Source organism: Homo sapiens, chromosome 9 (assembly GCF_000001405.40).
Source record: "Homo sapiens chromosome 9, GRCh38.p14 Primary Assembly".
NCBI classification, from domain to species: Eukaryota; Metazoa; Chordata; class Mammalia; order Primates; family Hominidae; genus Homo; species Homo sapiens.
The window spans coordinates 99,813,478-99,827,729 of NC_000009.12; the positions used below are offsets into that span (position 1 = coordinate 99,813,478).

Sequence of the window (14,252 nt, forward strand, 5' to 3'; positions counted from 1 at the left end):
CATGTTTAAATATGTTAAGTAGATATAAGTTGAGTTCCTAGTTAACACCCTACATGTAAGCCTCTCAGTCTATGGGTGATAGATATTAGACAAGTAACTATGCACTCGGAGGCCTTGAATAGTAACATCTAGAACTGGAAAGCAAAGTGAGGATTACAGTTGGAAATCAATTAGAGTTGAGGAACTCACTGATGAATAGGTTATATATGCCGCCCAGGCAGAGACAGTGAAGAAAAGAGAAAAGAACACAATCTTGTGAAACTATCGCAGCAAAAGTGGCATATCAAAATAGAGAGATAAGCCAGAGATTAATTCCTGGGGGTACCTGGGGTTAAAAAGTAAGGCATAACAATTCCTCAGGACACCTGAATCGGTTCTCAGTTCAAATGCAGATGTCCCAGAGTGCTATAACTCAGGGGTACCTCCCTCAATCTGGGCAACCAGAAGTGTCTGTAGACTCGGTGCAACGGTGGAAGAGGGTAGTGCAGGTGCAGCAGCACAGTGATGTACGCTCCTCTCTTATGCCTAACGAGTGAAACTATCCCAGAAAAGTTCTAAGGCCGTGAGGCTGGTTAAGATAAAGAAAATAGAATATTTTGGATAAAGCTTCCTGCAAACTGCTTTCATTCAATCATCAAATGTTTACGGAGCACCACTCTTCCTCTTAATACCTACTCTTAGCATGCCAAGAACTGCTAAGTACTCAATAAGTTCATCCCAAAGAAGATTCATCCCAAATACATAGATCCAAGATAACTGAAACAAAAAGACATTTTTAAAGACATTGAGACAACAGAAGCTGTTCTCAAAAAAATTTTTTAACTATGGAAAAGTCAATTTGACAACTATGAAAGACTACAGTAACTGGATCTCAAATTTTGTCCGGTTTATGCTATTGTTTTAAAAAATGAAACCGGTAATTTAACATGCAAATTTCCAGAATTTAGAAAAAGTTACATAGTTTATTTCAATTTTACTAAACTTAAGTAGCAGAAATCTTTAAAATATGGCTTTCTATTCTCCTCATCACAATTGATAAAACAGGAAAACATAACTGGAAAAGGGAACTAATTCAGAACAGATGTCAGGGAAGAATTTTTCCAGTAGTGAACTATAAACATGCAGAATAAATACTGGAAAATGTATTATGGTAAAAAAATCAGAATCAGTTACTAATTGCATGATCTAAAGAGGAAACCAGATACCTAAATATGTAGAATAGGCATTTAAAAAATAGATAAACCATGTTTTCACTATCTAAACCTAACTAAAATGATACCTCAACCTGTAATCTGTTAAAATTCAGATACTTCCCAATGCCTACAAAGTGAGCTCTTATTTATCTATAAAGGTCTATCCATCCACAAACCTAACAAGTTTGCAAATAGAGCCTACTGTATTCATCCTGGTTGTTTTGCCATTTTTTTTTTTCAACTTAACACCTACTTGGTACTTTCCTTGTGATCTGCCTTCTCACTATTTCACTATTTATTTACACTCCGAAGGGAGATGTAGACTTGCAACCCCACCATCATCAAGCCTTTTCTAGAAAGAAGCAGAAAAAGGACAGTTCTGCCTCCACTGCTACACTTAAGAAATGGTTTGTGCTTTGCATGCAGTGAGGATCAGAAAGGAACTGAAGAGGAGCAAACAACAGAATCCATTCCAATGAAAGTTTGCTAATTTGTATGAAGTCAATTTGTGACTCATCCATATTCAAATGAAGGCACAAAAACAAATTCCAAAGCTAAATATAAAATGACTTTTGGACTATCCAGGTTTCTGCTCATTTCTACTTCATGGACAGAAGGCTGTGATGCTGGCAGCATTAACTCTCTCAGGCCACCAAGATCCCACTCAGTGGCTATAGTTCATTACCATGCAGGCCAAAGCAGTTTAATATAACATTACTACTAAAAGCACATGTATTGTATACAAGACAGTTTGTAAGTCTCCTGGCCATAGCAATCACTTTAGGAGACCAGGGCACAGCTGATTCACAATATTTAATGTGTCTAAAAAAGCATTCAACTTTAGAACTTGAAATTTCCTTAAAGATCATAAAGTGAGCCCAACACTATCATTTTACAAATAATATTTAGGCCCCCCGAAAAGATGAACTTACCCAAGGCTGGGCACCTTCATGGCAGCAAAGCCAGACCCAGGCCTCTGAGAAGCAGTCTAGTACTTTTTGTGATATATAGCATCTCACTGTTGGAGAATATGCTGAAGGAACTGAACTTGTATGTGAGGCAATCTTTTTGGTTTTTTTCAGAGTGGAAATGATGGGAAAGGGTTATGCAGTTATATTTGGAAAGAGGTATTTACTTCATCCATCAACTCTAGTTAAAAGGCAGATCTTGTTTCGTAGGCATAAATAATATCCTGAATTGGTTTATCACACATGAATAATAACTTTTCTCCCCCAGATTATTGAGGTCTTCCAGAGTTTACCAATGATTGAGGAAAACATGACTAAGAAATAAACTATCTTTTTAACCAGACTGCAAGCCTGTCCTGACTCTTATTATTTCTAATGGATGAAAAGACATTATTTAATGAGATTTTAAAGTAATATTGGCACTTATACTATTAAGTAATCTTTCCATCTCAGGTTTCTACTTTTTCCAAAATTTTCTACAATTAGAAAGTCTTTCCTGATCTACTATGTTACTTTCTCCTTGTTAAAGTAAACTTTAATATTCAGTCATTGATATTAATATTCAATCATATTGAGCTTCTATCTAAAAATTCTAAAAAATCGTAATCCAAAATTGTTTTGCTCATTTTACTTCTGCATATAGTAGCATGCAAACCTATTTCAATATATTTTGGAAAAGATGAGATTCAAGAATTTTCATATTTAATTGGTTATACAAAAATGTCACGGTTCGCAATTTTCCAAACCTTAAAAACTTTTTTCTAAAAGAAGTTGATATTAACATTTCCTAGCCTACAGCATCTAGTTCATAAGTGAGAGAAAGCAGCATAAGAGAAAGTACAAATAGAGGGGAAAGAGGTTAGAATTAGAGTCAAACCAAAAGTCTATCAGGAAAAAAAAAATCATAGCAAATCTTCCTACACAGATACAATAGATAAAGACAAACTGCCATTTTCTTGTTATCACCACGCAGCTGTCTGGGCTTGTGGCAGGCACCTTGATAAAGTATGTTCTATCTGGAGTATCAAGTTGAAGTAAAGAAAGCAACCAATAAATAAACTTATACATGCCCACTCGTGCCAAAAATACCCTATTCCAGCCAGGCATGGTGGCACATGCCTGTAATCCCAGCACTTTGGGAGGCAGAGGCGGGCAGATCACTTGAGGTCAGGAGTTGGAGACCAGCCTGGCCAACATGGTGAAAACCCCATCTCTACTAAAAATGCAAAAATTAGCCAGGTGCGGTGGCAGGCACCTGTAATCCCAGCTACTCCAGAGGCTGAGGCAGGAGAATCACTTGAACCCGGGAGGTGGAGGTTGCAGGGAGCAAAGATCGTCCCACCTGGGTGACAGAGCAAGACTCCATCTCAAAAAAAAAAAAAAAAACACTAATCCATATAATTTGTTACTTATAATATGGCTATTCTCTCTATTCATATCCAAATTAAAGGAGGCAATATTTTATGGACATTTACTGTCCATATCGAACATTCTTAGGTGCCACAGGGATTTCAAAGATGTGTGGGGTATGCTTTTGAAGCTTACACTTTGACAAGGGAATAGACCATGGACACAAGAGCACAAAAAGAAGGCAGAAAAATAAGAACTTTGTGAAAGACTCTGTGAAAGACTTTGTAAAGTAAATCTGAGTTCACTTCTTGGGCTAGTTTTAGAGGAAGAGTAAATTTCAATTAGTGGAGAAGAAGAGGAAGGAGGGGATGCCATAAAAAGGAAAACTATCAACAAATGTGGGAGGTTGAAAGGAAGTTTGAAGAACAGTGAGAACACCAGTTTGACTAGGACAGGAAAATTCTGTGGAAATAAAAGAGGCTCTAGGTTTGATTTTGGAGAAAATATCCAGCTGCTGAAGACTTTTGAGGCCAGAAGTTATATAACAAAATCTAAATTTTAGGAAGACTAATCTGGCAATGATGGAATTGATAACGAATGGCAAGCATGTAGGTCAGATAGAAACTTACTATAATGATTGCAGGTTACTGAGCCAGGTACATCTCGTGTATAAATCAATGTCAGCTGAAGTTACTAAATTTTATATATGTACCTTAAATATAGTATAGAACTTCTACATTGATTCCACAAAACTTGAACTTACAATTTTTTACTTTTCTTTCCTGTTTTCACCCTAGGTAACAACTTCTGGCTTAGAATTTTTATTTCACCATTCCTCACCCAATATTTGCATTAATAAGAAATCATCATCTCTATATATTAGTAAAAGCAATAAGATTATACGTCTTTACTTCATCAGAAGAGCATTTAAAGCAATTTAAAACAATTGCTTTATATCACACATAAGTTTCCCCCAAATTTCATATTTTATTTTCTAAGAGAAATAGTTCTTTCTTGCAGGCAGATTAGGCCTACAAATCCAAAACAAAATGAAAGGTAACTATCCAGTGAATCCGTAATGGTTAATTTAGATACTTCTTTAACAGGCTGGCTGCTATAAGCATCATGAAAGCAGAAACTTAACTTCGTGTATGTAAACTAGTGACATATAAATGTCTCTCTTCTGTTATAGAAAAAGGACTGAGCCAAGAAAGTTTTCAACGTTTCACAGATTAAGGTAGTCTTATTTGATTTCCTAAAAGAAGAGATAAAAAAGTTAATAAAATTTTTTAAAAAGGAAATTGAGATTACTGAAATAGTCACATTACATGTGCCTTACAGAATATTATGCCTGGTTTCTAATAAATCCGACTTTTGAAAAGGAATAGAGCAGTAGATACTAATTCAAAAAAAAAAAAAAGACTCGAGAAAAACTAATTCTGTTTGGGTCACCTAAAGAACAGCATACGTTTAGGGACATAGGATTAAGCAGAGGATGGTGTCTCCGTCTACGAGACAGCTGTGTCTCTGCTTCCATGAATTTCCATTTGAGTTTCAAAAGGCTGCCACTCAGTGACCTCTCCAGCAGTCAGTCCCCCTTCCTACCCCGAGAAGCACTGAGCCACGAACAGTTGATTGGCTCAGGGAGGTCAGACAACAGCCCTCAGTCTAACAGAGCAGTCCAGGAACAGATATTGGCCACTTGATAGGAAGAAAAGGATGTAAAGGAGTAAGGATGTAAAGGAAGGAACGGATGTAAAGGAGTGAGGCTGTAAAAAACAGAAAAGGATGTAAAGGAAGGTGGAGGGGAGAAGGGAGGAGGATGCACAGAAGTAACCAAGATAGAGGTCCAGAAGACACACCCACTCAAAGAGAGGAAACTTTGCTTGGAGGTTCTCAGCCAGGGAGAAGAGTTTTTTTGTTTTGTTTTGTTTTAAATTTAGGTAAACAAGGATACTGCTTTGAAACGGTCACTGGAGCCCAACTCATATGAACAATTTAGCAGCTTTATAACAACCCTGAGTGGGCAAGGACCTTTCATACATATTAACATTTAGAAAATGTAGTTTATTGAATAAATTCATTGAAAGATGTCATGTTTCCTAAAAACTGTACCTAATTTTAGGGTTCCTGCTTACAGTGATTCCAGTTCTACATGAGAGTTTTAATTGAAGGAGGATTAGGGGGGTGAGGGAGGTGCAGAACACAAATGAAATTTTTACAGCATGGAAATAAAAGTATTTTTAAATCTTCTTGGGGGTGAAGAGTTAGGCAAGAAGTAATACGTGGAAACTGTCAAGTGCTTCTCTACACATCCACCCACCAGATACCATCGCAGCCGGCTGGGGGAGTCTCCCTCTTCTTGCCTGACAGCTTCACTTTCTTTGAGATCTGGAGCTGGTGATCACACTGGCCCGTCATGGTATTTTCAGTTAACAAAGCAGTTACTCAACGGGGCAAAAAGCCACAAAGGAGCAGAGCAGCTGCTGCTGCACCCGTGATGCAAGTGCAGGATGAGCCCCGGGCCGCCACCGCCGCCTCGGCTCCTCCGTGACGTCCGGGAAGGGTATCCCCGGCACTCAGGAAGTGGTGGCCGCGGGCAGCTCCGCCCCCACGCGACTCGGGGCTGGCCGAGCTGCCGGGTGGTAGAACCGCCGGGCCTTCCGCAGGGCGGGCGGGGATCACCGTCTCCCCACCTCCGTGCGCACACACATGCACGGGCCTCGCGCCCCGCTGTCGCCCGCGCCTCGCCCTGCTCACTTCTCACAGCCCGCGCCGGACGAAGAGAGCCGCCAGCGCCCCCCCTCTCTCCCACGGCTCGCACCCACTCACCCCGACCCCCGGCGCCGAGCCCGGCCCCTCGTCGCCGGTCACCAGACCTGGTCGAACCGAGTCCAAGATGGCGACTCCGCCCCCGCCCCCTCCGCACTCCCGGCGGGGTCAGGGCGCCCCCTCACGCGGCGGGCTCGCGCCCGAGACCCGGCTAAAAATAGCCAGGCCCGACTATATTTGGTTCGGCCGGATCCTGGCGCGGCCGCGCGCTCCCCGCCCCGCCCCGCCCCGCCCCGCGCGCCCTGCCCCGCCCCGCGCGGCGTTGAATGGAGAAGGGGCGGGGGTGACCGAGGGGAACCTACTCCGCTATCTGCGGCGCGCGCCGGCGGCGGGTCCCGGCCAACCGCCGAATTTAGTAACATCGCCTGCGTCAATCACGCGCCTCGCGTGCGTCAGCGCCGCGCGGCTCCAGGTCCTGCTCCCCCCCTTCAAGCCTTTGAATGGATACAATGTAGCAGCGCCCTCCTTCCTTCCGAGGCTGGATTGGAACCCGCCGCAGTGCAGAGACTCGGTTGCTCTCGGCTGGGTCAACTTTCGGGGCATTCTCCCACGATCCTCTCCGCACCACCGTGTCTGAATTGGAAGTGGAGGCGAAGAAAGATATACATGCCATATTTACCTATATGTAGTTTGTTTTCAAGTTTCTGGTCCTAGCTCGAACCTTCTTCGATTCTGAAATGTGTGCTGTCTACAAAGGAATCTTGTATCTCCCCTCGGCGCAGCGCCCCCCGCCCCCGCCACACACACACAAATTGGGACAGGTCAAACATATAAAACGGTATTTGTGATTCAAGCGGACCACATGGGGACCACTCTATCTGCATTGTTTCACTCAAATATTTTCTCCTGTCCAAAAATTCATTTCTGAAAGAGACTGCGTTCACTCAGCAGCAACCTTTGGGACTAGGGGTCTTTAACTCTGATAAATTTTGTTTTCATCAAGAAATTTACACTTAAATTTATCATTTCCAGGAAGAAATTGCTCTCCTTCATACAGTCACCCAGGCTTTCGGCACACCATTTCATGACAAATGTGTCCGAGGAGACCAAAGCAAATCCCCTAGCGAGGGACTGACTAATAAGTCCTGTTGATTGATTTCGAAATGTTTAATTTGGGAGATGTGGGCGGAGGGCATCTACAACCATCAAAAAGTGAAAGTGCTAGTTGAGAGTTCCATTTCTGACCCGGTGCCGGGGAGGAGGAATGATTTGCAATAGTCAGACCCGCTCAGCTGTTCAACACGTGTGTGTTTGTTTTACACACAGAGTAGTTTCTGCTGCAGCGCGCGTGTGCATGATGGATGTGCACTTCGCTGGGTTATAACGTGTCCAGTTAAGAAACCCACGCCGTACGTGTAAAGAAATCAAACCTTATCCCCGGAACCATCTGCATCCCTGTGTGAAACACGCACCCAGTAAATGATGCGGGGAGGGGGGATTAGCCTGGGCGCAGAGGACCGGAGCAACGTAAACAGCTTTAGAACCTATGCAAGAGGAAAGTGCAGCTGCACCTCAGGGCGTCTTCGGGCTGGTGCCAGACGCCTTCTGCACCGGCTGCCAGGTCACTGGAGCTGGTCAGAAGCTGGCTGGCGGAGCCTTCCCTTTCGGAAGAGCTGTCCTCTCCCTTACCCCCCTCGCCCTGGCTCCGTGCCTCGGGGCAGCCTCGGAGGCGCGCCAGCAGCACTCCTCCAACTCTACTCCACCCGAGCCTGACAGCTGGGCGGTCCCGCCTGACCCGTGGGCAGGCCGCTGCACCCTCCCGCAGACGCACGCCCTGGCGAGCGGTTCCGCTGCAAAAAGAGAAGCCCCCAGGCCGGGGCCGGCCGTGCGGCGGAGTTTCCATTGTGCGGCCGTGCGACTGGCCGAGGAACGCGCGCGCGCGCGCGCGCACACGAACACACACACCCTCCCTCGCACACGCGGAACCGGCTGGGCCAGGGGAGGGAGGAGGAGGGTGACGTAGCGTCCCATGGCGTCACATTGACGTCTCGCATTCCAGGCACTCTATGGAGAGGCCGCTAGGGCTCCTGTGGCATAAATGACGTGCCGAGAGAGCGAGCGAACGCGCAGCCGGGAGAGCGGAGTCTCCTGCCTCCCGCCCCCCACCCCTCCAGCTCCTGCTCCTCCTCCGCTCCCCATACACAGACGCGCTCACACCCGCTCCCTCACTCGCACACACAGACACAAGCGCGCACACAGGCTCCGCACACACACTTCGCTCTCCCGCGCGCTCACACCCCTCTTGCCCTGAGCCCTTGCCGGTGCAGCGCGGCGCCGCAGCTGGACGCCCCTCCCGGGCTCACTTTGCAACGCTGACGGTGCCGGCAGTGGCCGTGGAGGTGGGAACAGCGGCGGCATCCTCCCCCCTGGTCACAGCCCAAGCCAGGACGCCCGCGGAACCTCTCGGCTGTGCTCTCCCATGAGTCGGGATCGCAGCATCCCCCACCAGCCGCTCACCGCCTCCGGGAGCCGCTGGGCTTGTACACCGCAGCCCTTCCGGGACAGCAGCTGTGACTCCCCCCCAGTGCAGATTTCGGGACAGCTCTCTAGAAACTCGCTCTAAAGACGGAACCGCCACAGCACTCAAGTACGTATGAGATTCGCCCAGTTAATAAGGGGACTTGCTAAAAAAGTTGGCTTGCTGGGAAGCGTCGCTCCTGAAATTGACAACTTTGAGTGTGGGGTTCCCTCCCCTGACCTTGCCGCCCGGCTCCGGCTTTGCTAGCCCAGCGGCCCGTAGGTTCTGATCTGAAACTTTTCCCCTGTAGTGGGCCCGCGGGGATCTCTGGAGCTCGTGGGATTCCTCCCCCCACTCGAAGAGGCGAAAAGCCTCTAACAAAGAGGAGGACCGGGATTTGTGCTATAGCGGCTCCAGCGATGTAATTCAGGGTATTTCGGCTCTAGTTGTCATGGTAATGATGCTCTCGGCGGCGGCGGCGGCGGCGGCAGCGGCAGCGGCAGGGAGTTGCAGCTCCGGTGATGAACGGCAGTAATTTTCCTGCCTTTTAAGTAGGATTGAAAATAGGAGCTCTGGTGGGTCCAAGTAAATGTTGCTAATGGTGGCACCGAGCTGGTTCTCTGGAAGGAAGCTTAGGAGGGAAGGGCCTAGGCAGCGACGGCCAGAGTTTGCAGACGCACTCGGAGGACCTCAGGAAAGAGGGCGTAATTGTAGGAATGTGGCTTATTGTATTGAAATGAGCCTGGGGTTCCACTAGGCACGTCTGCCTGTCGTCGCTGACATGCCGGTTTACACTTTTCCCTTAGGAGGTAAATCGGGTGTAATTGGCGACTCCCGCACACTGACACGTGTGGGGACGGTGTCCCTCTCCTCTGGACGTTGGCTCGGTGTGGGAAAGGCATGCTTTTTCACGGACAGAACTCGCGCTTTTGGAGAAGTTGCTCCGAGTGTTTTACTCTTAGTAGAAATGAAAGTTCTCGGTGGTGAGACGAGAGCGGTCATGCGAGCGCAGCCTGCGGAGACTGACTTCCAAAGGCACCTCTCCAACCTGTTGGAAGCCTCGGGGCAGTGGTGAGGAAGAACGCATTTGTCCCTTGATTTCCAAAAACGTTCTTGGAGATTGCCTTTTATTTATTTATGCGTCCGGATTCTCCAGAGGGAAGAGCTGCGAGGAGTTAGTAATCAGAAATGTCGGGCTGTGATCCCAGGGCCTTGTGGTGCTGGGAGAGAAGAACAGGGAGCCGTCATTCCATCGCGAGTCCAGTGCCGGATCTCCTTTTCCCACGACCGGGAAATATTTTATAGAATCAAGTTAGGGAAAGAAAAAGCTGCCTAACGTGGCTGATGGGCACAATGAATGAAGTTACTTTATTCGAGTTATTTTCGCTGAACAAGATGCTCGCAGAGTTAGTATCAAAGCCTCCTTAGGCCACAGCAACCTCCACGTCCGCTCCGCCCCCCACCCCCCGGCACCCATCCACCCCTTTGCCTGGGACCGTGCGCTCACAGAAATTCTTCCCCGCGGTTTGTCTAGTCTCCCTCGGTCTTTCTGAGAATCTCAGTCTTTCCCTTTCTGTCAGTCTCTCCCTCGCTCCTCTTGCCCCCGCCCAACCTCCGCCCCCGCTCCCCAGGGTTGGAAACTCCGCAGAGGAGCCCCGGTCACAATGGTGCGTTTCACGGTTTCCTCCACACACTTCACCACCGGGAGGGGAACACGGGGGTGTTCCTTTCGTCTGCCCACGAGAAAGAAAGGGGCTTTGACAGAGGTAGTTATTTCTTCCTAATTTACAACCCCAAGGCTCTGTGCTCCCGGCCCCGGCGGCCGCAAGCAGGAGCGGCGGAACGTGTTTCCAGGCACTGAGGCTTTGCCTAGGTAACCGGCCGCTTGTGGGGTGGAGAGAGCGGCGGGGCGCTGGGCTGGGCTGGAGGAAAGGCTGTGTGGGTCCCTCCCGCGAACGCTGGGCGCTCGAGGGGAACTCCTTCGTTGGGGAGAGGCGGTCCCCGCCCACCCGAGTTCTGAGGCCTCCTCTCAGAGAACGACTCCGCTTGAAAGGCCCTCAGGGAATGCGGGACGGGAATGCGGGCACCCACTGAAGGGGCGGGTGGGGGATTGCTGGAGACCCCCATTGAAGATGCGGGGAGACGGGAAGCACGTGCTACAGCCGTGGGAAGATCCGCTTCTACCCGCGCTACATCGAGCGCAAGCTTTCCGTCCGAGCAGCTCCAGCTGGGGCTGGGGGTGGCAAGGGAATCCCCCATTTCCTGGTCGTCGAGGGTTTCCTGGACCTGGGAGCCCCGAGTCCCTTTCTCTCTTCCTGCAGGCAAGCCCCGGGCTCAGGGGCGCCAGGAGATGACCCTCGTGGCCCCGCGCACCTCGGAGGTTTTTGGTTTGGTTTGATTTGGGGTTTTTCGGTCCCTGTTCCCACTCTTCGAGCTGCGCCCACCCCGGGCAAAGGGGGCGCTATAGGCCGGAGTTTGGGCACCCAGTTCCTTCCCTGAGGCCTGCTGAGCTGCGCTTTCAGCTACAAAGTTTCGCTGAGGCTGTGGGCTGAGACGCTGGTCCCGGAGCTGCGCTCGGCGCCCTCAGGAATGTGCCCCCGCTAGGCCGCTGGGTGGCCAGGAGCCTCCAAGCCGCCCACCCTCGAAGACACCGCCCTCTGGGTGCAGGGGACCTGCCTCCGCTCGTCCCATCAGCCGCTAACGCCGTCCGCTTCGTCCCCTTGCTTCCAGCGCCAGCCTTCTCATCGCTGTGCCCTTTTGTTTGCTTGACCCCTGGCCCTCGAAACTCGCGGCTAATAGAAGCGAAGCTCCATTAGCATTTAGAATGAAAAGCGCAGACTTTCTTAATTCCTCGGGGCATTCATGCATTCGTTCCGGACCTTGTGCATTTCCTATGCAACGTGTAAAATTTGTATTTGAGGGGTGGGGGCGGGCGGAGCTGGAAAATGGCTTTTTTCCGCTGGTGAACACTCACTGACCCCCCGTATTCGGGCGGAGCTCGTTCCTCAAGTGTTCTGCTTTCTTTGGTTTTCCTGACTTCGTAAGCTCGGAATCAATTGTGGGGGCAGAGAGATCAATTTCTGGGCAATAACAGGCTGCGCGTTTTTTTTTTAGCCTCGGTTTTGGTGCCACAAAACGGTGGTAGGCGCAGTGGGTTCCAACAACCTTTCCTCGGCTTCCCCGAGGCCGTGTGATGCTTCTTGCCCAGGGGGACTCCTGTACCATTAATCACCCTTAATTTTACGATAATTCTTTGTAATTAATGTAACATTTCTAGAGGTTGCCAACCAATTCCCCCAGTCCCCAATGCGCCCAGCCCGGGCCGTAGTGACCCATCCTGGTCTCACTGTGACCTATGTCCTCTTTCACCTTGCCTGTAGAGCCCACTGCGGAAGAGGGCAGCCCGGCAAGCCCGGGCCCTGAGCCTGGACCCTTAGCGGTGCCGGGCAGCACTGCCGGCGCTTCGCCTCGCCGGACGTCCGCTCCTCCTACACTCTCAGCCTCCGCTGGAGAGACCCCCAGCCCCACCATTCAGCGCGCAAGATACCCTCCAGGTAGGTCCGAAGGCAAGACCCTTTTCTCCTCCCTGGCTGAGGGAAGTGGGTGGGGGAACCACACACTCGGCGGGCAGCGTGGTCGACCTGCCCAGTGCCAGGACAGTGACTGCTGGCCGCGAATTTCACAACACAGGTGGCTTCCTCACAGGAAGCTCCTCTGTATACCACACCCTGTTGCTACTGAGTGGAGCAGCCAAATTAAATTAAGCTTGCATTGCTCAAAATTAATTTTCCTAAGAGAAATACAAATACACCAATAGATTAGGGTATTTTATACATTTTTAATTTCATTTTTGCTCTTCTTTTATAGCCAGTGTGCACATGTAAGAGTTATGGAATCACTTAGAGCAATACTGAGCATTTTCATTTATATAAAACCCAAATCATTTGGGTGCAGAAGTTTGGATGATTGAAGCTCAGAGGGAAGGAGAAAAGCATTTGAGATGAAAACCAAAGAGTAAATTTGAGTTTGGCAAAAGAACAGATTGCACTTTTGGTTTGTACCACCTCTTTACAAATTTGTTAAAGGAATACTAGGTGCCAAGCCTGTGTGGGCACCATAGATAATGCAGATAAATAGAATACAATCCCAGCAAGCTCATCTTCTAGCTAGAAACCTCAGAAAGACACAAATAAGAGCAGTAAAAAGGGATTGGCCGGAAAGAATGACAGAAAAGAGTAATGGAGAAATCCTAGAGGTGCTGAAGGGAGAAGGAGAATAGATCAAAGATCAGGCAGTGTTCTTTCTTTTAAATGATTAGCCTTTCATTTCATCCCAACAACTGGACAGCAAGATAAGTAACTGGACTTCAAACTAGTGAGTGTATTTTTAAGGCCCTGCTTGTTAAAGAAAGGCTTGAACTGGCCTCTCCTCATCACTGCTTCTTCCAACAGGCCCTCATCACCTTTTTTCAAGTCAAGATTTCATCCCATACATGCATGACTCAATCAGATTTGGAAATGTGGGTAAGAGAAAGATGTCAAAGGAAATGTGAAGTATTCACTTCTCTATTAGTCACACCTTTTACACCATAGACTCCAAAGAGGCGTTAAGCACCTGGTTTTCCTTTGGCTCAGAAAAACCAACCACCAAAAACCGCCGTTTTTTACCATTTATATTTAGCCATAAAGAAAGAAAAATAATTAGATAAATCATCCACTACATCCAATAATTCTCAGCGCCTTCTCACTCAGTTCAGCCTCTCTGAACAATAGTAAGCACCCTGGATACCAGCCACTTTGGGGGCAACATAGTCAAACTGGCAGAGAAATCAAGTCTATTGAGAAACTGCTTTTTTTCATGGGTACTAATTCTAGTGTCATAAGGAAATACCTATACTAACTTGCCTATTATGATAGTTATAAACTGTTATCACAAAACAGTCACTGATATGTTTTATTAGTTAGAATTGGGATATATATATGTGTGTGTGTGTGTGTGTGTGTGTGTGTGTGTATATATATATATATGGGTGGGTGTTTTGTTGCAGCTGCTGATCTTTTTCTTTGCAGATGGTACAAACTCTCCCGAGTCAATTTCCTGGGCCTATGTCCCCACCTAGCTGACTGAAGTTATCAACAGGGGTCCAGTTTGTGCAGGCTGCTAGCCCTATTGGAAGAGTGGGGATGAGGTGGGAGAAAGCAACCACAACGTGTGTGGGCAACCTCAATTGGCACTCATAAAATGTTAGAATGTCAACTCTCTCCCTTGGCCACTAAATCTCTCACAGGGTAGTTTTTCTTGCCTAACTCAGGTTTACAAATCAATGTGTATGCCTTGGGGGACCAATGGCCTCTTTCCTCCCAAATAAACCACTGGCTTTCTCTTTGTCCCCCTAGGTTATAGCTGAGGAGCCCACTCCAATTAGTTTATAGGATTCAAAGCCTCTTTTTA

The 14,252-nt window shown here is 47.9% G+C and overlaps 1 protein-coding gene and 1 long non-coding RNA gene across 5 annotated transcripts in view, besides 7 other annotated features; one reads left to right on the top strand and one right to left on the bottom strand.

Annotated features, from left to right (window-relative positions):
* Nucleotides 1-6,412, bottom strand: part of LOC101928438 (uncharacterized) — a 234,104-nt gene extending 227,692 nt beyond the window's left edge. Inside the window, exon 1 of the long non-coding RNA NR_109802.1 lies at nt 6,344-6,412. This is a non-coding gene — a long non-coding RNA (uncharacterized LOC101928438). The remainder of the gene's footprint in view (nt 1-6,343) is intronic.
* Nucleotides 5,536-6,129: an enhancer, noted in NCBI's record as "H3K27ac hESC enhancer chr9:102581295-102581888 (GRCh37/hg19 assembly coordinates)". NCBI's record gives its function as "activates a minimal SCP1, AML or CMV promoter by ChIP-STARR-seq in primed H9 embryonic stem cells {active_cell/tissue: H9 hESC(primed)}" and the evidence as "EXISTENCE:reporter gene assay evidence [ECO:0000049][PMID:30033119]".
* Nucleotides 6,071-6,620: a silencer, noted in NCBI's record as "silent region_20128". NCBI's record gives its function as "represses an Ori minimal core promoter by ATAC-STARR-seq in GM12878 lymphoblastoid cells {active_cell/tissue: GM12878}" and the evidence as "EXISTENCE:reporter gene assay evidence [ECO:0000049][PMID:35858748]".
* Nucleotides 6,071-6,723: a biological region, named in NCBI's record as "H3K27ac hESC enhancer GRCh37_chr9:102581889-102582482".
* Nucleotides 6,130-6,723: an enhancer, noted in NCBI's record as "H3K27ac hESC enhancer chr9:102581889-102582482 (GRCh37/hg19 assembly coordinates)". NCBI's record gives its function as "activates a minimal SCP1, AML or CMV promoter by ChIP-STARR-seq in primed H9 embryonic stem cells {active_cell/tissue: H9 hESC(primed)}" and the evidence as "EXISTENCE:reporter gene assay evidence [ECO:0000049][PMID:30033119]".
* The window catches only part of NR4A3 (nuclear receptor subfamily 4 group A member 3), a 45,007-nt gene continuing 39,162 nt past the window's right edge, over nt 8,408-14,252 (top strand). For 2 of the 4 annotated variants that reach the window (NM_006981.4, NM_173199.4), the window contains exons 1-2: nt 8,408-8,930; nt 12,182-12,355. Coding sequence is in view for 1 of the 4 variants with exons in the window: in NM_173200.3 (NP_775292.1) it covers nt 13,294-13,324 (31 nt within the window). In the remaining 3 variants the exon portion in view is untranslated. Of the gene's footprint in view, nt 8,931-12,181; nt 12,356-13,252; nt 13,325-13,870; nt 13,990-14,252 lie in introns of those variants that run through there. The other 2 variants (NM_173200.3, XM_017015162.2) reach the window with 2 other exon arrangements.
* Nucleotides 8,502-8,551: a silencer, noted in NCBI's record as "silent region_20129". NCBI's record gives its function as "represses an Ori minimal core promoter by ATAC-STARR-seq in GM12878 lymphoblastoid cells {active_cell/tissue: GM12878}" and the evidence as "EXISTENCE:reporter gene assay evidence [ECO:0000049][PMID:35858748]".
* Nucleotides 9,126-9,638: an enhancer, noted in NCBI's record as "H3K27ac-H3K4me1 hESC enhancer chr9:102584885-102585397 (GRCh37/hg19 assembly coordinates)". NCBI's record gives its function as "activates a minimal SCP1, AML or CMV promoter by ChIP-STARR-seq in primed H9 embryonic stem cells {active_cell/tissue: H9 hESC(primed)}" and the evidence as "EXISTENCE:reporter gene assay evidence [ECO:0000049][PMID:30033119]".
* Nucleotides 11,174-11,223: a silencer, noted in NCBI's record as "silent region_20130". NCBI's record gives its function as "represses an Ori minimal core promoter by ATAC-STARR-seq in GM12878 lymphoblastoid cells {active_cell/tissue: GM12878}" and the evidence as "EXISTENCE:reporter gene assay evidence [ECO:0000049][PMID:35858748]".